Source organism: Homo sapiens, chromosome 1 (genome assembly GCF_000001405.40).
Source record: "Homo sapiens chromosome 1, GRCh38.p14 Primary Assembly".
Lineage (NCBI taxonomy): Eukaryota > Metazoa > Chordata > Mammalia > Primates > Hominidae > Homo > Homo sapiens.
The window spans coordinates 208,250,921-208,275,191 of NC_000001.11; the positions used below are offsets into that span (position 1 = coordinate 208,250,921).

General features: G+C 43.5%; 2 long non-coding RNA genes across 3 annotated transcripts in view, besides 1 other annotated feature; one reads left to right on the forward strand and one right to left on the reverse strand.

Moving 5' to 3' along the window:
* The first annotated feature begins 1,821 nt into the window (after nucleotides 1-1,821).
* Nucleotides 1,822-24,271, forward strand: part of LOC105372889 (uncharacterized) — an 82,866-nt gene continuing 60,416 nt past the window's right edge. The window contains exons 1-4 of one of the 2 annotated variants that reach the window (XR_922508.2): nucleotides 1,822-1,907; nucleotides 2,209-2,262; nucleotides 3,574-3,701; nucleotides 9,767-9,855. This is a non-coding gene — a long non-coding RNA (uncharacterized LOC105372889). The remainder of the gene's footprint in view (nucleotides 1,908-2,208; nucleotides 2,263-3,573; nucleotides 3,702-9,766; nucleotides 9,856-24,271) is intronic. The other variant, XR_922509.2, reaches the window with a different exon arrangement.
* On the reverse strand, nucleotides 14,499-19,729 carry LOC124904501 (uncharacterized). The gene is made up of 2 exons (XR_007066852.1): nucleotides 18,928-19,729; nucleotides 14,499-16,851 (listed from the first exon to the last, which is right to left on the reverse strand). It is a non-coding gene; the product is annotated as an uncharacterized LOC124904501 (long non-coding RNA).
* Nucleotides 19,671-20,252: an enhancer, noted in NCBI's record as "NANOG hESC enhancer chr1:208443936-208444517 (GRCh37/hg19 assembly coordinates)". NCBI's record gives its function as "activates a minimal SCP1, AML or CMV promoter by ChIP-STARR-seq in primed H9 embryonic stem cells {active_cell/tissue: H9 hESC(primed)}" and the evidence as "EXISTENCE:reporter gene assay evidence [ECO:0000049][PMID:30033119]".

Genomic DNA, 24,271 nt, shown 5'->3' on the forward strand with positions numbered 1-24,271 from the left:
TTAGGGGAGAAAGAAAGACAAGAATGATAGCAGAAGAATTTCTTCCTGCTTCTGACTGCAAGCTCTTCAGGGACAGCCCATTAAGCCCCCAGCCTCCAACTTCTGTTTCCTGACTCATATCTGGAGTACCTAACACGGTGCCAGGTTCTCCCTGGGACTATAGCCCCGAGTGTGACAAGAGTGATGAACAGGGGCTGGTTTGAAGAGCCAGTCCCTGCTCTGGGGGCCTGTCTCTGGTATACTGTGAGGCAATGCCAAGTGGCGGCCCAGGGGGGATCTGGGAGGCCTCAAGCCAGACAGGTGAAGGCTGGTCCAGGGCCTTGCAGGGGTGGGTGGGACCTTGCCCGGGAAGGAGGCTGGGAGAGTGAAGTCCACCACTCCATGCAAAAATAAACAAACACGCTGTTTAAGCAAATCAAATATCCTGACATCCAGGTGCAAACCACAGTGCCTGCCCCATGCTATAAATTTAGGACAGGGTGTGAATTGCTAGTGTCTGAAAAGAAAAATCCAGAAGTGGCACAAGCGCTGGGCAGGCAGGGATCAACTGCATCAGCGCTGACATCATGAAACAATTAATAACCACATTAACAATGTTTTCCATATTCTGAGTTTCGAATTCCTAGAAGGAAAGGTCCACGTTTAGGTTTCCCCTCTTAGTCAGTTTAATATTAAGTTCATTATGATTCCTTTTGTGAAATACTCTCTTGCCGGGGATTATGAGTGCTATATGGGACAGAAAAGAAAGATCAGCAAAAGCAGTTCTCTTTTTCCATCATTCCCTTCTGGCTTTCCTCCTCTTTCTCTCTGGGGCTGCAGCACTGATTTTCTGGAATGGCTTCTTTTGACTTAGAATCAATCAGTGCTGGTAGGATGAAGGCTGCTGTCTCCATTAACAACAGCAACAACAGAACTAAAAAAAAACTCCACCTTGGGAGTCGGGAGACCTGGGTTTGATTCCTGACTCTGCACTCCCTGGCAGTGTGACATCACATAGGTCACCTTCCCTCCTCTGGCCTTGGTTTCCCCACCTGTAAAAAGCAGGAATTAGCTTTGATGCACCCTCTACTCCCCAGCACAACCGCCAGCTTGCTATGCTGCCGCCCTTCCAACTCTCTCCTTGGAGAACGGTGGAAGGATGTTGACGCCAAAAAAAAAAAAAAAAAAAAAAAAAGGCTTCTTTTAATGCCTAAGAAACTCACTGCCTAAAAAATCAACGAGGGAGTGCAATCCAGGGACAGAGCTGAGAAATAGGATTTTGCCTTTGAATTATCCCAAGTCGGATGATTTCTCTCTCTGCCTGTCTTTGATAAACGCTCCCATTCAGGGCTCTGGTGTTATGAATCTTTCTGAGTCATGGGTGGCTATAGCCCCTTCGATCCATTCAGCTGACAATATTTCCTGACGTTTCAAAGGCCAAGAGCATAGGACAATCCCGTAGTGTCTCTTTACCTTCTCTCTTCTTCCCCATCCCTCAAGCTCCAGCCTCCACTTTTTCCTGTGGAATTCCTACTTTGGCATTGTTGCACAAGGTCGTGATATGACAGCAAACCCAGCCTTGGCGATTGCCCAGGGTGCGGGAGCCCCAGCTCCTGGTCTCCTGGAGAAGCCGGCAGAAAGCCTTCTGTGGTCTCTCCAGGACATCACCCACCCCTGGTGGAATGACAGGGAAGTTTCCTGGCTTCAGAAAAGCAGGGCAACCTGGCAGCCGCCCCCTCCTCTGCAGTTATCAGTGTGGTTAATAATTATTACCCTGTGTTAATCACGACAGCGGAAGAGTAGCAGGCCGTTATTTCGAAATGATCGGCTCCAGTCAATGACTACTTATGACAGCAAAAGGGAAACATCAGCTCCGGGGAGCCCCCATGTAAATGGGGAGTTGAAAGAAAGATCAGGAATAATGGAACGTGTGTTTAGTTCCATTTTCCTCCCTAAAAGGGCCCTGTCAGAGTAATTTCCCCTTCCATGTACTATACCTCTCCATTATTTACAATATCTTCTTGGGGGAATAAAACAACGCAGAACCGCTCCTCCTCATCTCCCACCCCCTGCCTCACCCTCCCCTCTCCCCACCCCCATCAATTGTGTCTCTTTCTGGAGTTTGGCAAACACAGCTACTTTCTCCTGCTGTGCTTTCAGTGGAGCTGAAATGACTGTGGCTCTAGTTATTTTTTTCCCTTAATCATTCTTTTTCTTTCTTTTTTGCAGGAGAACATTTTCACGAAGCACAATCACAGAAGAACAGAATGTCCTGATGTTTGGGTGAGCAGCATGCATTTCTTTTCTTTTTTTTCTTCCCCTTGAATAAAAATTACACTCCACAACCATAATATCAGAGGGCTAAAGGCCATCTTTCAAACTTTCTCATAATCTTGCGCTACCCTCTGTGCTCAATCTTATTTCTGACAGCCCCCTCCCTACCACCCCGGGGTGTAGTGGTTCCTTGAAGATACTAAGTTCATTTCACTCCCCTGAATCTACGCTCATGTTAATCTTACAGTCTGGAATGTGGCATTCCCCTGCCTCACTTCCCACAGTCATCCAATGCCTGAACAATCTTTAGGACCTTCTCAAGGTCCATCTCTTTTAAGATGCCATGGCGCTTTCTGTTTATACAGAATTTTAAGGATTTGTACACTAGCTTCTTTTCATTGTGAACTTGTAACAGATAAGTCATTTAATAAATATATGTTGAAATATTTTCACTAGTGGTATCTGCTTTTTCAAAAGAAACTCATTTCAGAAATGAGAGAAGCAAGGATACTCAGAGAGCATAAGTGACTTGTAGATCACATGTCCAGGAAATGGCAGAGAAGTTACTGGAACCCAGGTGTTTTAATTTCAAGTCCAGCATTCTTTCTCCTCTGCTGCATTCTGACTGCAATTCCCTCTGACCTCTCCTTTTGCTAATCAGTGTGCTTAATTTGGGCACTTTGCTTTCTTTCTTTTTTTCTTTTCTTTTTTTTTTTTTTGAGACAGAGTCTCATGCTGTCGCCCAGGCTGGAGTGCAGTGGCGCGATCTCAGCTCACTGCAACCTCCGCCTTCCAGGTTCAAGCGATTCTCCTGCCTCAGCCTCCCAAGCAGCTGGGACCACAGGTGCCCACCACCACGCCTGGCTAATTTTTGTAATTTTAGTAGAGATGGGTTTTCACCATATTGGCCAGGCTGGTCTTGAACTCCTGACCTTATGATCTGCCCACCTCAGCCTCCCAAAGTACTAGGATTACAGGCGTGAGCCATTGCACCCCACCGGGGCACTTCACCTTCATCTTTCCCACTAGATTGCAAATTCCTTAAAGGCAAGGGCTATGCCTTATGTTTCTCTTGCACCTTCCATCTGAAGTGAAAGTTTTGTATTAATTCCCTATAGCCATTGCCCATCCCAACTTTTCTTCTCTCTGTCAAGACTGGCACACCATCATGGAGTCACACTTTGGAAGATCTTTGTTCTGATGCTGGGACCCCTGTGGGCCTGGGATGGAAAACACCCATGATCTCTGTTTCTCTCTAAGGCTGACACCAGGACCCATCCAGTTCTGCTCCACTAATCTGGATCCCTCTTTCATACACAGAAGCTGACCACAGGGAATGTCAGGATGCCAAAAATCTCCTTTGGGACATTAGATATGCCTTGAATTTCACCACTACAAGTTCTACCATCAGGGAAAACCACTAACATCTCTGGCCCTGTTTAAACAAGGTACTATCTTCTCTTTCCTTTTGACTGATGAGCTCAGAAAAGACCCTATGATAAAGGAATGTGCCAAATTGCTCTGCAGTTTCTATATGTACCTCATCCCAGGACCTATGAATCACCTCTGTGCTTTTGATGAGCTTTAAAGTCCAACGAATGCTAACTTCTCTTAATGTCATAATTACATTTAACAGTTAATATTAATAATGAATGTGGTCATGTGTATAGCAAGTTGTCATTGACAAAGTTTTCATGTACATTAGAAGCAGGTAGATACATACTAAGAAGACTGCCGGGTTCCATTGCTATTGCTAAGAGCACAGATTTCAGAGTGGGTTTGATTCCTGGCTCCAGGGCTCATTCCACTGTGGTTTCAGCAAAGTTGCTTAACCTCTATCTAATGTCAGTCTCCTCAATGGTAAAATGGGAAAAGAATGTGAACATCATAGAGTTGTTATGAGAATTAAATGAGAGGCTTGTAAACCACAGTGTCTGGCACAAGAAAAACTGCTACTTACAGGACAGTTTCTCTGTGACAGTCATTGTTCTGTCACTAACTGGTGATGTGGCTTTGGGAAATCAGACAGCCTTATTTTCCTCCTCTGGAAAGCAAGAAGCATGGCATCCTGGTATATTTTGGTTTTCAGGCCAACACATTAAAATAGGTAGTCACAGTTTTGATCCCTGCCATAGGCACTATTGTAATTTCCATATATTTGCTCATAATAGTTATTAAATCCTTGGTTCCAGTTTTGGACCTGACCTGAAACAATGCACAATGATTGCTAGAACACAACCTCTGACTCCCAATCCTAACAAAAAATGATGTATTCCTTTCCCTTACTCTGCAAATCTTAGAAAGCAGTGTAATTGTCTCTATTTTCTTTTTTCTTTTTCTTTTTTTTTTTTTTTTTTAGACGGAGCCTCACTCTGTGGCCAGGCTGGAGTGCAGTGGCATGATCTTGGCTCACTGCAACCTCCAACTCTGTGGTTGAAGCAATTCTCCTACCTCAGCCTCCCAAGCAGCTGGGATTACAGGCGCACGCCACCAAGCCCAGCTAATTTTTGTATTTTTAGTAGAGATGGGGTTTAACCATGTTGGCCAGGACGGTCTCGATCTCTTGACCTCGTGATCTGCCCACCTCAGCCTCCCAAAGTGCTGGGATTACAGGCATGAGCCACCGTGCCAGGCCAATTGTCTCTATTTTCAAATGTGGAAACTGAGGCTTAGGAGAGTAAGTGCCTTGTGCAAGGTGATGCAGCTGATATATGATGGATCCAGGGTTGAAACAAGACCTATTGATTCCTAGTCCCATGCACCATTCATGAAGATGCAGGGCTTCTTCTACAAGTCTCTGGATGATTTCTTGTCCTCTGTGCAGATTCCATCTTGGTTTTTGACCCTGGTTTCTAGAGAAGGGAGCACTGCTGTCCACCCCTGGGAACAACAGCATTGCCTCAGAACCATCCCTCTCAGGCAATTCAGTGGAGGAGGACACAGTGACCTTGAGGCTGAGTCCACTCCACTTTGTCTCCCCTTCTGCTCCTCCCAGACTGCCCTGGGAGATCTTGCCTTTAATGGCATTAGTATGTGCCTTCTGCAATGCTGATTAAATTATCTAATTGTTTGGAATTGGATGGAGCTCCTGAGTCAGGAATGCCACTTGACAACCCTGGGGACTGGGGTCTGGTTTCTGCCTCAGGAGCCAGCACAAAGTGTGCAATTATTCTTCATGGGGGTAGGAGAAGGCAGCACACATGCAAAGAACCAGTACCCTTCTTGAGGAGGGGAGGGTCCGGTTGGGACTCTGCCTCAAGGGCCTACAATGGCTTTCATTCCTCTCTACTTCTCATTCACAGCCACACTTCTCTCTGTCACGATAGGACAGTGTGGGGATCAGTCTAAAAAGATGTTTCTGTATGAACTCCCAAAAAAGGAACCCTCACCAATTTAGGACTATAGCTTATCATAGTTGGAAAAAACCTTCAGGCCATTTAGTCTTACCCTCAGTTTTAGTTTCCGAGGTTGCATACCAAATGACCACAAACTGGGTAACTTAAAACAATAGTTTTTGCTCTCATAGTGCCGGAGGCCAGAAGTCAGAAATCACGGTTTCAGCAGGGCCAGGCTTCTTTTGAAAGCTCTAGGGAGAAATCTTTCCTTGCCTCTTCCAGCTTCTGGTGGTTGTCCGCAATCCTTGGCATTCCTTGCCTGGAGCTGTTTCACTCCAATTGGTACCTTTGTCCTCATATGGCCATGGCCATCTTCCGTGTGCGTGTGTGTGTGTGTGTGTGTGTGTGTGTTCACATGGTCTTCTCATAAAGACACCGGTCATTGGATTTAGGGCTCACTCAAATCCAGTATAACCTCATCTTAACTTGGTTATGTCTGCAAAGACCCTATTTCCAAATAAAGTCACATGCAGGGGTACCAGGAGTTAGATTTGAACATATGTAACTTTTCGGAGAACACGATTCAACTCCACTCCACCCTCTGTAAGAATATCTTCTACATCAACTCAGCAAGTCGTCATTCTTTATTTCCTTGGATCCATCCGATAACAGGACATTCACCACCTTATAACTTTTAAAGGGTCTAGAATATATTACCAATAACCTTGAATACTGTCATAGTTTTAAAATCCTCTTAGCAAGAAGATTCTTAAATTCTAGACTAAGTTTTTCTTATGAACCTTCATCCAGTGAAAGCAATGATTTCTCCGAAAGCCTTGGGCAAAAGGCTTTTTTCTACCACTGACCTCTTTTCTGATGGCAATACAGTGAGCAGCTGGGAGGCTCCCGTTCCCCATTGCAGTTTTGTGTGCATCCCAGTGAGAGAAAGAGACCCAGCATTATCACAATAAAATACTTATGATTAGCATCCCTATAGGACTCTTTGCCTTCAAAGCCTTTCAGTCCCCTTCTTTGGCACACATTCAAGCATGTTTGCCCACCCCCTTGGGTTTCCTTCCTCCCTCATAACCTTGGCCTTCTGACCTGAATAGTTTTTTGCCCTGCTTCACACTGTGGAAGCCAGGGAGACCAGAGTGAGCCGCAGAGAGTGCACTGAGACAGGCAATTGTGTGTGTGTGTGTGTGTGTGCGTGCACATGTGTGTGTGCGTGCACACGCGTGCACAGTGCCTATGATTAAAAGGGTCTGTTGGGTTTAATGGATGCATTTGATTACCATGATGACTCCCTCCCTGGAGCTTTCCAAAACAGCCAGATGTACCAGGAGGACCACCTCCAGTTTTTGCCTTTGGTTCAAACTGTGGGCAGGGGCACAGGGAATGGTGAGGATTATGTGGACCTGCACAATGGAAGAAAAACTTAAGCCTTATTTCTATAGAACCCAACTGCCATCTCTTTCCACCAGGACACCAATTAAAGGATCTCTAGCCTATCGAGTCCTGGGGATAAAAGTGAAAAGAGTGAAAAGGCAGACTTGGAGGAAGCCAACAGTGCTGCTACTCCTGGGGACCCCCTGCCCCCAGCCTTCCCATCCACCCACTGCCTCCTTTCACTGCTAGATGGATGATCAAGAAAAATCAAATGAGAGAGCTCATTTAAAGTTGTTGTTGTAGGAGGAGATAATCTTTTCTTAGCCCACTCCCTGCTCTCTTTTCAACTTGCACTGGGTGTAATGTCCTGGACCCAGGTCTGGGGATGGCCATTGCCACTAAAGCTTAGGCAAGCGGAGTTGAGTCTGATTCTTGCCTTCTACATAGCTGCAGAGATGTGATATTAGGCTGTTTGGCTGCGATTAGATGCCAGCAACTCTAACTTGGCTTCATTCTTACCACAAGGCTTCAGTGCACTGACTATCAGCTCTGATGACATGAGAATAGGTGAGACTGTCACTGCTGCAGCACAGGAAGTGAAAAGCCTGATTGGTCAGGGAGGCAGGTGACTTTGAGTCTAGTCCTTTAACTGCTGCCTTTAACTGTCTTTCTGAGTCAGGCCACACTTTTCTCACCTTAGGGATTCAGGAAAATCCCCAAGTTTCCTTCTGGCTCTAAAGTCCTGCCTGTGGGTGGAGAAAGTGCCCTTAGAGAGATCGGAAGATTGGTGTCATCTCTGCTCCAGGGTGATCTTAGGATTGGGAAAGGGAAGCAGCTGCTTTTCTAATGGTGGACAGCACTCCAGACCAGAGGGTCACAAAGCTGGGTTCATCCCAAGTATTGACCAACTGTTTGACCTTGAAAATGTAGTTAACCTTTATATGCGACCAATTCTCTTTCAAAAGCAGAAACCACACCCTCCACAGTTCTTAAGTTTTCTCTGAAGAAAACCATCAGGATAAATAAAATGATAAGCTAAATTTTCCTTTGGACTGTGCTAGCAGCATTGCACCATCTCAAGCAGCAGAGGGGAGAATCTATTTAGAAACATCCACTGAAAGCGCCTGTGCTCTATCAGTACATTTATACTGAGTGGCTATGATTTTGATCAATGGTGCTCAAACTGGCTGCATAATAGAAGCATGCTTTATCATTTAATTCGGATTCTTGTTGATCACTTTTGAAGATTTACTGAGTTTTGGGTATAATTTGGCAACCTGTATTTTTAACAAATCTGAAAAAGCTGTAAAGGTAATTTGGATGCTTATCCAGGGCTGAGAGACACTGATTTATGCATTTAATTTAGCAAATTTTCATTGAGGCTGTGGCTGCGTGGAATGTAAAGCTGTGTAAGGGTTGGTCTGGTTTCGGCTTTCTAGGAAATCCTAGTAATTTTTGCTACCAAAGGAGGCAGGCATGAATGCAATGAATTGTAATCGGGTAAGACTCAGGCACCAATAACTACAACAGAGGAGTGAACAATCAGAATGGAGGGTAACTATGAACAATTAGTGTGTCCATTCCAGTATATTGTCAGGCAGGGTACACCTCTGGCTGTAATCAGTTTGATGAGTACTCCATTCATGGTGGTGATGCCTCAGAGGAGCAACACTGGAACTGAGCCTCGAAGAGTCAGAAGGATACAAATATATCTCTGAATTTGCTTAGAGTAATGTGTGGAAGAATACAGTATTGAAAGATAAATCATAAAAATAACAAATTTACCCACAGAAAGAGAGAAGGAATAGAGACCAGGATAGAGATTAGACTTTAAATATGCCATGGTTTTATGGATTTGCTTTTGAAGCTATGCAAATATTTTTACATAATTTTGTAACAAAAGACAAAAAAGCAATTCCTAAAATTTTATAAAGTAAAATGAAAGCAAAAGGAAAGTACTTAAATGTATTTCCAGTTACAGCTTAATCATACCAGGGAAGTATTTCAAGTACTGTAAAAAAATAAGTATTTTTTTATGTCCTTAGTGGGGTATACCCTAAGAGCAACAACAACAACAAAAACAAAAACAAAAACAAAAAATCTTAAGCTATTCTTAGTAATCATATTGTTGGTGGTAGTGAAGTGATAGTGTCTGTGAAGTATGTTAGGTATGTATATTGTTTTATGTGTATGTGTTATATATGAGTAATCATATGATTGTCATAGAGAATGAGGATTTTTTTCTTTTTCTTTTTCTTTTTTTTTTTTTTCGAGATGGAGCCTTGCTCTGTCACCAGGCTGGAGTGCGGTGGCACAATCTTGGCTCACTGCAACCACCAATTCTGTGGTTCAAGCAATTCTCCTGCCTCAGCCTCCCAAGTAGCTGGGATTACAGTCATGTGCCACCACGCCCGCCTGATTTTGTATTTTTAGTAGAGACAAGGTTTCTCCATGTTGTCCAGGCTCGTCTTGAACTCCCGACCTCAGGTGATCTGCCTGCCTCAGCCTCCGAAAGTTCTGGGATTACAGGCATGAGCCACCACACCTGGCCGGGATTTTTTTCTTATGGGAGAAAGATACAGATGTGAGATTGACAAAGTGAAGAAAAACCTGTGGTTCTGTATTTGCGCTGGAAGTATCATTATGAACTTGAGCTCTATATTATTTTTAAAAAATATGTGTTTACTGGCTCTATCTACCAAAAAGAACAAAAATAATGAACAACCTAGTATTACTGAACACCTCTAGCTCTCAGACTATGTTTTCTAAATACCATTTTCTCTTAAAAGGAACCAGAGTTTCTTGAAGAAATGTCTGAGTCCAGATTCATGGAAGGAAATATACAAGTCTGGAAAGTCTTGTTATACCAGAAAACAGAGTAAGTATCAAACACTACTGTCATGTCAAAAGAACTCAGGAATGTACTTGAATAGATTCTTACTGATCAAACATGAAATACTTTGAGAATAAGAAAGGATAATAACTGCAAAGGATTGAAATTCACAACAAATATGTTTACTTTTTGAGTTTATAATGATACTTGTATTAGTCATTGAAAAAACTTTCATTATTTTAAAAACTAAGTAAAACGAGAAAAAATCAAGCATTTATTTTGATTCTCTTATATGATCTATATCTTGGGATGATCAAGTAGATGAGGGGAAGTTGCTCTTTATAAAAATATTTCAACTAAAAAACAAATAAGGAATAAAGCAATTAAAATGTGACAATTTTGCAACCTCCCTAATTAGGGTTGCCAGATATAGCAAATAAAAACATTAGGACCCTTGCTTAAATATGAATTTCAGATAAACAACACATAATTGCTTAGTATATGTCTCATGAAATATTCGGGATATAACAGAGGACTTTAAAAAGTTCATGGAAAATGGAATTAAATATAAAAATAAAAAATAGAAACTTTATTTCTCAACATAAGCCTTGTCAAGTTTAATACACTTTTGTTGGTGATGATACCAGCCATTTAGTCCATCCCTAAAGAACTGAGGGCCCTGGAAATTTAACCATGTCAATGCAGTCTTTTTACATTATTAACTAAAGAAAACGGGTGCCATTTAAAGATCTTTTTAACATTAGGAAACAAAAGGAAGTCAGAAGGAGACAAATCAGGACTATAAGGTGGATATGTAATGGTTTTCCATCAAAACTCTCACAAAACTGCCTTTGTTTTATTTGTTTGATGAGAGGAAGGAGCAGGTATATTGTGGTTGAGAAGGACTTGCTGGTGAAGCTTTCCTGTGTGTTTTTCTGCTAAAGCTTTGTCTAACTTTCTCAAAACACTCTCATAACAAGCAGATGCAATTGTTCTTTGGCCCTCCAGAAAGCCAACACACAAAATGTCTTGATCAACTCAAAAAACTGTTGCTATGAACTTTGCTCTTGACCAGTCCACCTTTGCTTTGACTGGACCACTTCCCCCTCTTGGTAGCCATTGTTTCGAGTGTGCTTTGTCTTCAGGATTGTGCTGGTAAAGCCATGTTTTATCTCTAGTTAAGACTCTTCAAAGAAATGCTTTGAAGAAACGAGGGGGATCAAGATCCACTGAGCTTTACAATTTCCATTGAAAACTCTGCACTTGTTTGCAGCTAATCTGGGTGCAACGATTTTGACACCCATCAATGGTCAGTTTGCTCAACTTTAATTTTTTGGTTAGAATTGTGTAAGCTGAACCAATTGAGGTATCCATAGTGTTGACTATTGTTTGTGCTGTTAATCATTGGTCCTCTTCAATTAGGGCATGAACAAGATTAATTTTATCCTCAAAAATTTATGTGGATAGTCTGCTGCTGTAGGTTTCAAATTGAAAATTGTCGCATCCCTTCTTAAGACGAGTTATCCATTTGTAAGCTACTGGTTTCTTTGGGGCATTGTCACCATAAAGATTTCATAAAACAGCAATGATTTCACCATTCTTTCAAGCCTCCCCATAAATTTGATGGTTCTTGCCTCAATTTTAGCAGAATTCATGTTGCTCTGATAGGAGCTCTTTTCACACTGATGTCTTATCTTTCTTGGTGCATCAAACTAGATTCTGTTCAGACATGTTATAACAGATTAGAATGAGTGTTTTGGTGCAAAAGGTTTTTGAAATCCTTGCGTTGTTTTTTCATAATACACATTTTCCATGAGTTTTTGAAGGCCCCCATACTTATTCTAAATGATCATTCATTGTTTATCTGAAATTCAAATGCAACTGGATATTCTATATTTTGTTTGGCAACCCAACAATGAATTTATAAATCTAGGCAATGATCATTGATATTGTGTGACATCACATACATGCACATACAAAAGAAATGACCAGACCTTATGACCCTCCTGATAGAAATACCATGACCCATGAAGTAGCCTTATCAAATTATTGAGCTTGAATCAATCAAGCTGGCAGATCTAACTACAAGTTTATGGGAAATACAGGGGGATAGAGGGACACATTAAATGATGTGCAATCAGGAAAATATAGGCTGTCGGAAACTCTATACAACAAATGCCCTAATTTTATAAATAGAATGAGAGAGAGAGAGAGAGAGAGAGATAAAACAATCATTGATATTTATTATTATAGAATTATTTTTATATGTTTGACGAGTGCGATATTGCTATTGTGGTTACTATTTTTTAAAGAATCTGTTTCTTGAGATACTTGCTGAAATACTGAAAGTTTAAATATGATTTGCTTCAAAACAATCAGAAGTGTGGGTAATGTGGATGGGGTGTAGCCAAAGCAAGAATGACCACACACTAATCATTGTTGAAGCTAAGTGAGGCATTCATTATACTATTTTGATATGTGAGAAATCAGTATGTTATTTTTGCTTTTGTATATATTTAAAATTATATATAGTATTTTTTAAACAAAATTAAGGAAGATCTCAGTTGATTAGGTAGGATAGACATTCCAAGCACTATTCTAGGTGCTTTATTTATATTATCTCATTTTAATCTCATAGATACCAAATGAAGTAGGTATTACAACATTACTCCTATTTCACATATGAAGAACCAAGTCATAGACAAATCAAGTAACTTGCCTAAGGTCATCTAGGAGTAAATGGTGAAGCTAGAGTTTGAACCCAAGAAGTCTAACTTCATACAGTCTAAGCCCATAATCTTAACCACAACACTCATCCTCTGAACTGGCAAAGTTGGTTTATCTGCTTTGATATTTGTGGCTGCTACTTGGGGTCATCTGGCCCTGTGCAGTCCTGCTTCTCATGTGGTGCACTTGGTAGTGATGGTCTTGTCATTGGCAGTATGCTGTGTTTTGTAGGCATTCTAGCATGAGATGGGTGATCTGACTAAATAGGCTTTAAGGTCATGTCTAATTATGTGATTCTATGATTCTAAGTAGGTTTTCTCCCCCACAAAAGTGAGTGTCCTGAGAGTGTGGTGTGGCAAAACTTTACCTCGAGGAGATATAAAGGCAACTAGAAGAGATATCAGTAACCCAGGATGAGGCAGCACAGGGAGCCTTGAGCTCTGCAGATTGGCAGACGAGTCACAGGGCCTGCCATTCCTCAAGAAAGGCTGTCTTCTTCCTTACCAAGCCTCTGCCCTGCAAAAGGCTGCACATAGAGTGGATACCTCCATTTTCCAGGTCACATACTTGGTTTGGATATTTGCAAAATGTTTTCATCAGCTTCTCAATATAAACATGATTATCTTTACAAAGACCCACTCCACTCCCCCAGGAAGTAGACAGTGCCTGGAAATGCCTTGTTTTCTAACACTGCAGCTCTTCCAAGCTGGACCAAACCTTCCCCAAACTGCAATCTTTCCAAGAGCTGAAACGCGAATGCCTCTCCTTGAAGAATGCAACTGAAGTTCTCTACATGCCAGCTCTTCCTTTTCATTCTAACATCTCCTGTTCTTTTGCTACACACATCTCTTTGAATAGAAGCAACTTGAGGTCACATCCAGAGGAATTGTGCAGGTGGCTTTAAAGGCCAACATAGCAGGCTCTGAAGTTGTAAGAGGTGCATTGGTTTTTATCAGTTTATTGGAAGGAAAGATGGGTCCATGTGCAAGGCTACTTTTTTCAGATTGGGGACAATCTCTTAGGTTGGCAGACACATATGTATTATTTTTCATAACTCAAAACTATCTATGGAACTGCCAAGAGTCAATTCCAACTCTCTGTTTGGATAAGATAGAGGTTTCAAAGGAAAGTTTTCCTTGGCAAAGTGTATGTCTTGGCGCTAACAGTCCTATGATGAAAATACCCAAGACCAAAGGCAATCCAGGGCTGCTTTCAATTACTGGGGTTGAGCTCATTGGGAATAGGTCTCATGATATTCTTTGGATTAGGAGCAGACACTGTTTCTATTGGCAACCAGGGGAAAAAAGAAAGAGATCATTTCTCTGCTATTTGGTGGACTTTTCCAATTATGGAAAGGTAATTCAGATCTTTGGTGACTTTGGAAATCTTCCCACTGGAAAATTCCTATTGATTTTTGGTGTTTGCCTTATTCTGGAGCACTGAGAATATGCTGGAGTGAGCAGAGTCTAAATTGTCCAGGGGCTTGATAAGAATTCTCAGGCAGTGGCACTGGCAGAAGTGCAGCTTGGGACTTACCCAAACGCCTCAGAAGCAGGCTCTGGCTTTTCATGTGAATTGAACTCATTACTAACAAAAGAAGAGCATCCCAGGATGCTGGCAGAGAGCAAATCAGAAACATCTTCAAGGCCAAGAACCTAGAGAAACTTAAGTAAAGTCAATAGAAAATGAACTCAGTAGGAGAGGGTGGGGAAGAATGATATTTCTCTTTTTGGATTGCAAGCCAATAACTTTTTTTTTTTTTTTTCACTTTGCTGACGATCTTCAGTCACTAATAAGGAAGCTGATGCGCTCTGTCTAGACAACTCATTTCATGAAGGTCAAAGAGGGTAGGCCTTGTCCTTTGATCCTTGACACTACTCTGCAGTCTGTTTTGAACTTCACACTTGCTGAGAAATTTGGGTGGAGATGAAATGAGAAAACTTTGACTAAAATAAGCAGTGCCCATTTTTAAATTTTTTATTTTTTTGTCTTAATTTTCAAACAGCTGCATTTGGCTCAGCAGCTGCATGTGGCCCTGCACCCACCCAGGCCCCTATCTCCTTCAAAAAGCCGTGAACCTTCCATGCTGGTCTAGACCCATGGTTCTCCTAATTACCATCTGTCTGATCCTGGGCAAGCCTCAGTCATCTCAGCTGCAGAGAGGACATGCAGTACATCAGTGCTTTGGAATTCCTTTTCCCAGTGACTGAAAATATACTGAATGAATGAATGGCGATTTTGAATACAACATAAGATACACCTTTGGTAAACCCAGTGCATACTAAAAACACAATCCCTTCCCTTCCCTTCCCTTCCCTTCCCTTCCCTTCCCTTCCCTTCCCTTCCCTTCCCTTCCCTTCCCTTCCCTTCCTCCCTCCCTCCCTCTCTCTTTCTCTGTCTTTCTTTCTTTCTCTCTCTCTTTCTTTCTTTCTTTTTTTTTTTTTTTTGACAGTCTCGCTCTGTTGTCCAGGCTGGAATGCAGAGGGCTGATTTCGGCTCACTGCAACCTCCATCTCCTGGGTTCAGCAATTCTCCTGTCTCAGCCACCTGAGTAGCTGGGATTACAGGCATGCACCATGATGCCTGGCTAATTTTTGTATTTTTAGTAGAGACAGAATTTCACCATGCTGGCCAGGCTGGTCTCGAACTACTGACCTTAAGTGATCCACCCACCTCAGCCTCCCAAAGTGCTGGGATTACAGGTGGGAGCCACTGCACCCAGCCAGAACACAATTTCCTTGGTCCCTTTGCAAATTGGAAATGTCCAGGTGAGCTGTTCTCCTGACCACTTCCACCTGAGCCATGAATGGCTTGGCTGTCAGTTGTATCAGAGTTCCCAGCCCTGTCCTTGGAGCAGTAGCCATGTAATCAATATTCCCAATGACAGTCTCATCACAGCCTCTGCCATCTCGATGAGAAAATAGAAGGGGCCTTCTGTCTGCCCTTCTCCACAGACTAGAGGTCCACATACTAGGCTTCCGTGCAAAGAATCACCAATGCAGAGTTGCTGGGATCCATCTCTCCATGACAGTCCCACCCATGGCATTCCCTCCTCTCCCACCTTTCCCAGCCATCCTCAAGCTTTCTGCAGCGGGAGTGGAAAGTGTCTGGAAGGGATCAAGCACTGGCAGAGCTGAGCAACTTCAAATTTAATTTCCTGGAAGGACAAGAGCAACGGCAGTGTGCAGTGACAGAGTACCTTGCCAACCACCCCCACCATGGAGAAGGGGCCCTGAAAGCTACGGTCTGCTTGATGCAGATGGGAGGATGTGGGGGCAGCAGTCAGTCTCCCCTGAATGTGATATGAAGATCTCACCCAGCCCGATGACAATATCCACTCCTTCTTCCCCATCTTCTCTCAACTTGGACAAGGGCTCTGAACAAAAGTCACCTTCCCTGCCTCCTCACCCTTTGCCTTTCTATGTTTCCCTAGGTTCCTCTTGGAACATGCTTGATTGGGACTTGCTCACTCCAAACTGGGGACTTAGCAAGGTTGATTTCTACATTTAGAATATCCTGCCAATATTTCCTTCCCCTCTTCTAAAATCTTGCTCTATTTCATCTCCTTCTGGAGCTCAGATCACTGGTTAACATTTGCATCCATATTAGGGCTCAATTTATCTAAGCTTCACAAAAAGCCAGAGCCAGAGGTGGCCTTAATAGATTACCCAACTGCCTTATGTTCCTTTGGGGAAACTGAGGCCCAGGGTAAGGAAAGAACTTGTACAACTCATGCATTGAGGGAGGGGTAGATCCCTGGTTACAACTCAGCGCTGACCCCTCCGAGTCCAGAACCCTTCCCTCTGTGTTGATTTGTCTTGCTTCTCCTTTTCAAACATCTGACCCATGTTTTCTATTAATTTCTAAACTATCTAAGGGCAGTGACCTCTTCTTCTCCTTTTAGAGCTTCATGGTGCCTACCAAAGCTAATACCTTATACTTTCAGCACATTATATACTTTTAGAAGTTATTTACATTATTGCATTTTTTCCTCATAAGATTACTTTCCAGCAGCAGCAGCAGCAGCAGCAGCAGCGATGTAATTGACCCCCATTTACAGATGATGCAGCTTTAAGGCAGAGAATTCCATGGCTGGCCCAAGGATAGCTAGACATGTGGGCTTATGTGGGAAAACAGAAGGCCCTGGCACAAAATCACAATGCAGACAGTGAAATTGATTGTTACCTAACAAGACCTGAAGCCAAGGGAGCTCTGATGCTCAGAGAAGATGATGGGGTGCTCATGGATTAGCGCACGGTCCGATATTTCCCTGTGGTTCTCCGCTCACTGGATGCCTGATTCTCTTGTACTGTGCTTTAAAAACAGCAATGTTCAGAGTCACAGTGGAGTCAGGAAGAGGGAGCTTGCCATTAGTCCTGATTATTTAAGCAAACTCCCGTTCTTTCCTCCCGCATCCTGCTCTCAAACCTCCAATGTGCTGTGTGCAGATGTGCTATGGGTTCCTAGGAGAATGCTGTGATACAGACAGCGGGACTGGTCTCCTCTTGCCCCTCCCCATCCCATTTGTGCTGGGGGAAATGTAGTCACATCATTTGCATTTATCAGGAGAATATGCCTCCTTGTCTGTAGCCTTTAGTCTGACTGAATTGCTTTTCTGCTTCATGAAACACACAGCGCGGCAGCCCAGTGCTCCTTTCTCCTCCTCACTTCACCGGCGTCGGGCCGTAACCCACTTTGCTCTCCAGCGCATTTATCATATTGATCGTATAAGAAATAGATCATAAGCAGAATGAAATTACCGAATGCAATGATCTGGGGCATCCTATGGACCAGATCAATCTTGGGGCAGCCAGGAAAAAAAGTCCCTTGCTGTGACGTTTTCCGAAGTTGATTTTCATTGCAGATAGAAATTTCCATCAGCTGAGGCACCCTGGAGGGAAAAGTCTGCTGTGCTGACAAGGGGTGTGTGTGTGTGTGTGTGTGTGTGTGTGTGTGTGTGGTCTGAGAAAATGAGGAGGTGGGAGGGAGGGAGAAAGAGGGAGAGAGAGAGGGAAAATGGGAGCTTGAGAAAATTCATTCATTAGAAAGAGGACTTCCTTAGCTAGATCTCATTTGAAATGGATGTTTGAGGCTCTAGCTGTAATAAAACCCATTTTTTCTTGCCTATCTCAGATTCTCTAAATTGTTCTTGTATTGTGTGTGTGTGTGTGTGTGTGTTTGTATGGAAAAAATGGAAGAAGGTAAGACTCTCACTTGTTTAGAAGGCCCCTCAAGGACCCTTTTGAATCTGTACTCCTGGGCTGAGAGCCACCTGTCTTTTCACGCTGGACCTGGTCTGGGAATGTGCAGTGTTGGCAGGAGGCTGGAGTTTTAACAACATAGTTGGTACAGGACAGTGTGGAATTTATTTATAGACTGTTCCTTGAAAACATAAGCTTAAAGCCCCTCTCTCCTAAACCTGAGGCTCCAGACATGACCTCTGCCATCGTAAGAATATTCTCCCTGTCTGGAGACAAGGCTGGTGGGTTCAGCTGAGACTGGAAACCCAAGTGAACAAGGTCTCTGGCAGCCTGCCACCACCTCAGACTGAGGCAGAAACCCACAGTGGGAATGCGGTCCGAGGCCCCCATCGCCCCCTTCCCGCTGTGAAATCCATCCCCAGACACTGAGACTCAGTGTTATTGGCTTTGGCAACATTCATCATGCCAATAAACTCATTGAAATTGAAGAAACCAGAGTGGGGACGGAGATCAGGGAATAGAAGGGGGTGAGGAGGGAGAAGGGAGGGAAGTGTGCAAAGGACAGCAGGGAACAGGAGCTGCCCTCAGATTCTCCGGTGAGCTGAAAGTGAGAGACGTCATGGATGCCAAATAGCTGAATTCATGGAGGAGAGAAGGCACAGGCATGAACAGACCTCCTCCCAATCCTCCAAAGCTGTCTCTGCCTGCTCCCTGTCACCACTGAAGCATCTGTGCTCACGGAAATATCTCTGGAAACCTTCCTGTAGAGCAAATGGCCAAGGAAACACACATGTGCGCCCGCACACACACACACACACACACACACAACCGTCAGTGAGACAATGAGAAATAAAACACCACGAAATATATCTGCCAGGACTATGGGGAAATATACCAGCCACTCATCTGAAGCCAGAGGAGAACCAGGCTGGGTTGAGGAGCTGAGCAGTTTCCTGCTAGCACTACTCTGTCCACATCCCAGCCCTACTCCGGTGCTAAATTCTGCCCTGGTATATGCTCCTAGATGTGCAGAGTTTTCTAGAGTTAGAAATGCTACTCAGAATTCATCCAGGATAGCTCTGTATTGTTTTCCCTGGATAGAGGACTGCCTCTCCTAATCCTGAAGACCCCCAGAAGTGGTGAAAGCCATGTTTCACAGCCCTCACCGTCAGGAAAGTCCCCTCATTACCTGATATTGTAGCCTTGGCTGTTTCCCTTGTCTCTGTCATGATTGGACACAACTGTGCAGGGAAACATCAGAGCCCTGAAAGCCAAGCATTTGAAAACGGAAAACTACCAGGCTGCTCTCTGGACAAAACAGCTCCTCCTTCCATAAACTCTTCTTCAGTTTGTCTATTTCTAGCTGCTATTCTTGCATAGCTGAAGACTGTCTTTACTTCTTAGCGGTCCTGTTGCATTCATTCTTCTGTCTTCCTGTCCCTTGCTAGAGATGTGCCTGTGTGGTCAGTGGAGAGCTGGCTTGTCATCTTAGCTGCTGTATTTCCTCACCTACCGTCCTTTCCATCTTATCCATCAAATATGCAAAAAATTTTCGGAGTTTCTTCTAGGCAAGGAGAGGCAAAAGGATAATTGAAGAAAACTGAGGCTGATTTGAAGTCTGCAAAAAGGGAAGGAAGGATAAAGAGCTCTGATAGAGAGGCAGCATCAGTAATCCAGGAATGTAGAATGAAATTTCAAAGACGTCCTTGGCTTTTTGAAAGCTGAGTTTCGTTCAGTTGTCTCAGACTTTTAAAAGAAGGAGCTAAAATAAGAATGATCATTTGAATTTAGGAAAGACTTTCTTACTTTCCAAAGAGAATTTATTTCATAATCACAGATTATTCTGTTGATGTCCAATCAATCATCTAATCTATGTTGCTAATTGTCACAAGGCTGATCAAAAGCGTGGCTGTCTCAGTGCAACGCCATCCTGGCTACTGGCAAGCATGGAAAAGTCATGTCCTTTCGGCTGAGAGTAGGTTCCTGGATATATGTTTGCAAATTACAGCAAGTTGCTGAGGGAGGGAGCATTCCATGTAGGGACTTGTGGGGGGAGTTGGAGAACATATGTCATGTGTAGGAAGAGAACTGTAGTGTCTGCAGGGCTTCAGACAGCTGAGAAAAACTATGTGGATTCAGAGACTGACAGCAAGAAAGGAATGAAGATGGGATACAGGAATGTTCTCCCAGTGACTCCATGGGAACCTTTTTTATCAGCCAGGGGTTAATTTGAGACAAAAGGCTGGTGCTGTGAGCATGGGATTCCTGCCCTGTCCTGAGCCTGATGGATCCATTCCCTTAATTAAATGCACACAGTTTATTTTACCAACTCTAATTACTTGAAGAATGAGTATCAGGTTTCTTTATCCTTCTGTGGGTCCTGAATCCCCGCCAACCCCACAAGCCTTACGTGCACTGAGGCTAATGGAGCTTTTATTCCAATGAGTTGAGAGCCAACCCACCTTTGTGGAGAGAGGAATATTAAAAAGAAGGAGGAGGAGAAGAAGAAAGAAATGCTTAATGTTTGTCTGGTGGATGAAAAATTTCACAAGATAAATTAAAGTGTTTTCTGGCTGAATGGAGAAACGGGGGGCAGGATGGTAGAGATAATTTTTCCAGGACTCAGAATGATTTATCTTATCGCTGTGTTCTTTAGACAAGAGGTTCCATTTATTTAGTCATTTATTTTATTAGTTTTCTGAAGATACCCCCTATTCTTCCCCCACGTCCAACACAAAGACATAGCACTTGGCACAAGGAGCATGGGGCTGGGAGACAAGACTGGGATCCCTGGATCCAGGCTGTCATTCATTCAGCCCCATGCCAGGCACCAGGCCCTGTGCTGGAGAGACAGCTGTGCTTGCATGGAAATTGTTCCTGTCCTCAAAACCAGCATCAAATGGGAGATAAAGACTCATAAACCAGTGAATATAATTCTCTGTGATAAATGCTGTGCTATCAGAACCTCTCTGCAACCCACATACCCCAATAATGACCTTTGATAAGCCTTCAAGAGATCATCTAGTACAGTAGTTCTCAGGGTGATTTTTGCCCATCAGGGGCATTTGCAATGTCTGGAGATGTTTTTAATTGTCACAACTGGGGGAGAGGGGTGGAATCTCTACCTACAGGGATCTTGTGGGTAGAGGCTAGAATGCTGCAAAGTATCTTTCAGTCCTACAGTGCGTGGGACAGCCTCTTTCAGCAAAGAATTATCCAGCCCAAATGTCAATAGTGCCACTGTTGACAAACTCTGCTTTAGTCTATCCTTCTGCCTCAAGACAGGCCTGTGCTGAACCCATCCTGAGAACTATCTGGCTTCTCTCAAATCTTCGTTTCATGCTGCTGGGCTCTGCTCGGCCACTGCTGAATGGGCTTGAGAGAGGGAATTTCCTTTTGCCCTGTTCTGATACCTGGAGATAGAACTGTATTTTAAAAGTAGCACAAATGGATACAATTATTTATGTGAGGTGGTAGGAATATCTTTAGGAGAGCATCTCAAATTCAGGGTGGAGTAGATGAAAACATAAAATCCTGCCTGGATGCCTTACATTTCTTTTTTTGTGGAACTCTCTGTCACATACAGAACTCCTCACTCGTAGAGTTCTTGGCAGTGGAAATAATTTGGGACTAGGTTGAGTCCTTAAATAGTTTCCCTTTTGCATGCCCCAACCTTTATTCTGAATGTTTACAAAAAAATACTGCCAAGGCTTTTTCTTCGGATCTTCATGTAACTGTATGTTATGTACCATGGAGTTATTTTTGAGCAATTAAGCCTCCCCATGCCAGGTTTTCTCATCCTCTACCAAAGCCATAAAGATGGGGCCTTGTGTCTGGCTTTTCAGGGAAAGCAGATGGCTCTTTGGGTACTGGCAGGAGACAGGTGTGAAGTTTCAGGGGCCGGAGGGCTTGTCTGGCATACTATGCAAATTTGGCTGCATTTTGCATCCCTCCTAGGAGCTACAACCAAATGGAGCTTGCTTCTACATCTCTCTCTCTCTGTCTCTGTCTCTCTCTCTCTCTCTCTCTCTCTCTCATGTGTGTGTGTGTGTGTGAGAGAGAGAGAGAGAGAGAGAGAGAGAGAGAGATTGACTGTTGTGTACATATGTGTACTGAGGTAGCAACAAAAGCTGTCATTTTATCCTGGTCTAAATTGTATAAAAAAAGATGAATGAATCCATCAGGGTCAGCTTTCTGGGAGGACAGTGTGTAATTCTCTTTTTAACTTGATCAACATCTGAGTCTGCTTCTTGTCTCCAGATGCTGAGACCTCAGAGTGGCTGGCTTAGTGGCTGACAGTCACCAGGAGGCTCAGCAGAGGAGTGCTGATGAATTCTTCTTACACGTAGACCATAGGTTAGTGATAGTTGCAGTTGGAGATTTGCATTAATTGGTCTATCCTGGATTATGGCTACTGTCCTTTCCTTTAGAAGGGGCATTGTGTGAAGGTGACTACATGCCAAAGATTTTGTCAGAGGCATGTCTCAAGTTTAAATGCTTTTTTCTTAGATCTCCCAAAGTACTTATCAAACCATAATTTTTACATTTTAAAGAATATGTTTCCTGTAACTATCAGATTATTTATTTTGTCATGGAAACACCCTCTAGTCCCCAATAACCCAGAACCAAGAAGAACAAAACCTTATTTCTACTGACTTCCAGTTTCTGCCCCAGCTTCACCCAAGCCTAGTAACCCAGAGATTTCGGGCTGGAGGAGAATTTGAATGTAACTAACTAGTAATATATTCTATATTTCCTTCCTCTTTAAAGAGTAGATTGGCTACACCACTACTGATTCTTGTCTCTAATGATTAATTTTTACTTGCTTTCACCAGAATGCCCTTAAGTGCCAAAGATGGGTTACCAGTGGCTCCCAACAAGTTAACACATGTTACCATTTGGGTTGGATAAGGGAGCCTGTGTGGCTTAGTGGAAACCCATCCCTGTGGTTTGGTCAATACCATATGTTCATAATGAAAAGGACTACACATTCCTGAGGAAGCAACACACCCTCCTTGGGGGGCTTTCAGGGAAGTAGGAGAGTACGCATTACCAATGAGAGGAGATATACCGTACTTGCTGGACTGGAGCCATCTAGGGACCTGAGTGTTATTAGCCAGAAGGCTCTGCACAGACTGGCCTGTTGGTCCTCTCACTGGGGGCTGATGCAACCGCAGCAATGCATATCTGTGGCTCACCTGCCAGTATTCAGTGTCTACTCTAGTATTTGGCATTGAAGGCCCTTAGAAATATCTGCACAAACACCGAGTTCTAGGCTTTCCGATAGAGTGTAGACCACGGAGGTGGCAAAGGCTTTCACTACCTTTTAGGATAGAATTAGATGAGAACCCAGGTCCCAAGAAAGCCAACAGAGACCTGAGCAGATCAAACGACTCTTTAGCAGCCTCAGTGGCAATGCTGTAGGCATGTCTAGGTGAAATTTCTTGCCTTAGTGTTCATAGCAAACACACTCGGATCCCCAAATCCTTTGGCAATGTTGCTTCCCGTTATCCTCACTTTTTTGCTCTCTGTTTAAGCCATGTGGAAGTATTTCCCATTCCTGACTTGTCCTGAGAGTCCCCCTATTTCTATAAAATGCTGCTCCCACCTTGATACAACTTCTTATTAAAGTCCCTGTATTTAGATTTGATACCAAGACTGGGAGCAGGGACTGGCACTGGGAATCAAATTTGAAAGTAAATATTAAGGAGTATAAAATGATGTTGGTTAAAAAAAAAAAAAAAAGGTGCTACCACATCATTTCATCCAGGCACTGTTTGAGGCATTTGATGTACATGTTTTCATTTCATATCTTGAGTTGTCACAATTACTGAGTGAGTTGGCATCATTTCATGGAATGCTTTAGTGGACCAGGATCTCCCTCAGTTCCCAAACAGACAGGAACCTGAACCCCTATACTCTGCTTTTGGCTTTCTGATTGGCTTTTGCTGCTCTTGAGAAAGCATACTAGTCTTGTCCAAGTTCTTCCCTGGAGTAGAGGATTGTGCCAATGACCTAGAGACCTAGGTAAGTGCCCCATGGTGGCCCTCATGCCATCCTTCCAGCCCCGGCCTAACTCACATATACTTCCACCAGGGGTGCTGATCCCCTCCAGGTGGAATTAATCTCTCCCTTCCCTTAATCCCAAAGCATCTTTATATTAGGACTTTTTACTGCCTCCCTAACTTTTTTTTTTTTGAGACAGAGCCTCGCTCTGTCACCCAGGCTGGAGTGCAGTGGGGTAACCTCGGCTCACTGCAACCTCTACCTCTTGTGCTCAAGTGATCCCCCTACTTCAGCCTCTCATGTCACTGGGATTACAGGCACCCACCATCACACCCAGCTATTTTTTGTATTTTCGGGAGAGACAGGGTTTCAACATGTTGGCCAGGCTTGTCTTGGACTCCTGACCTCAAGTGATCTCTGCCTGCCTCGGCCTCCCAAAATGCTGGGATTACAGGCATGAGCCACCATGCCCAGCCCCTCCCTAACTTCTATATGGATTTATGGGATCCACTTGACAGAGCTCTATG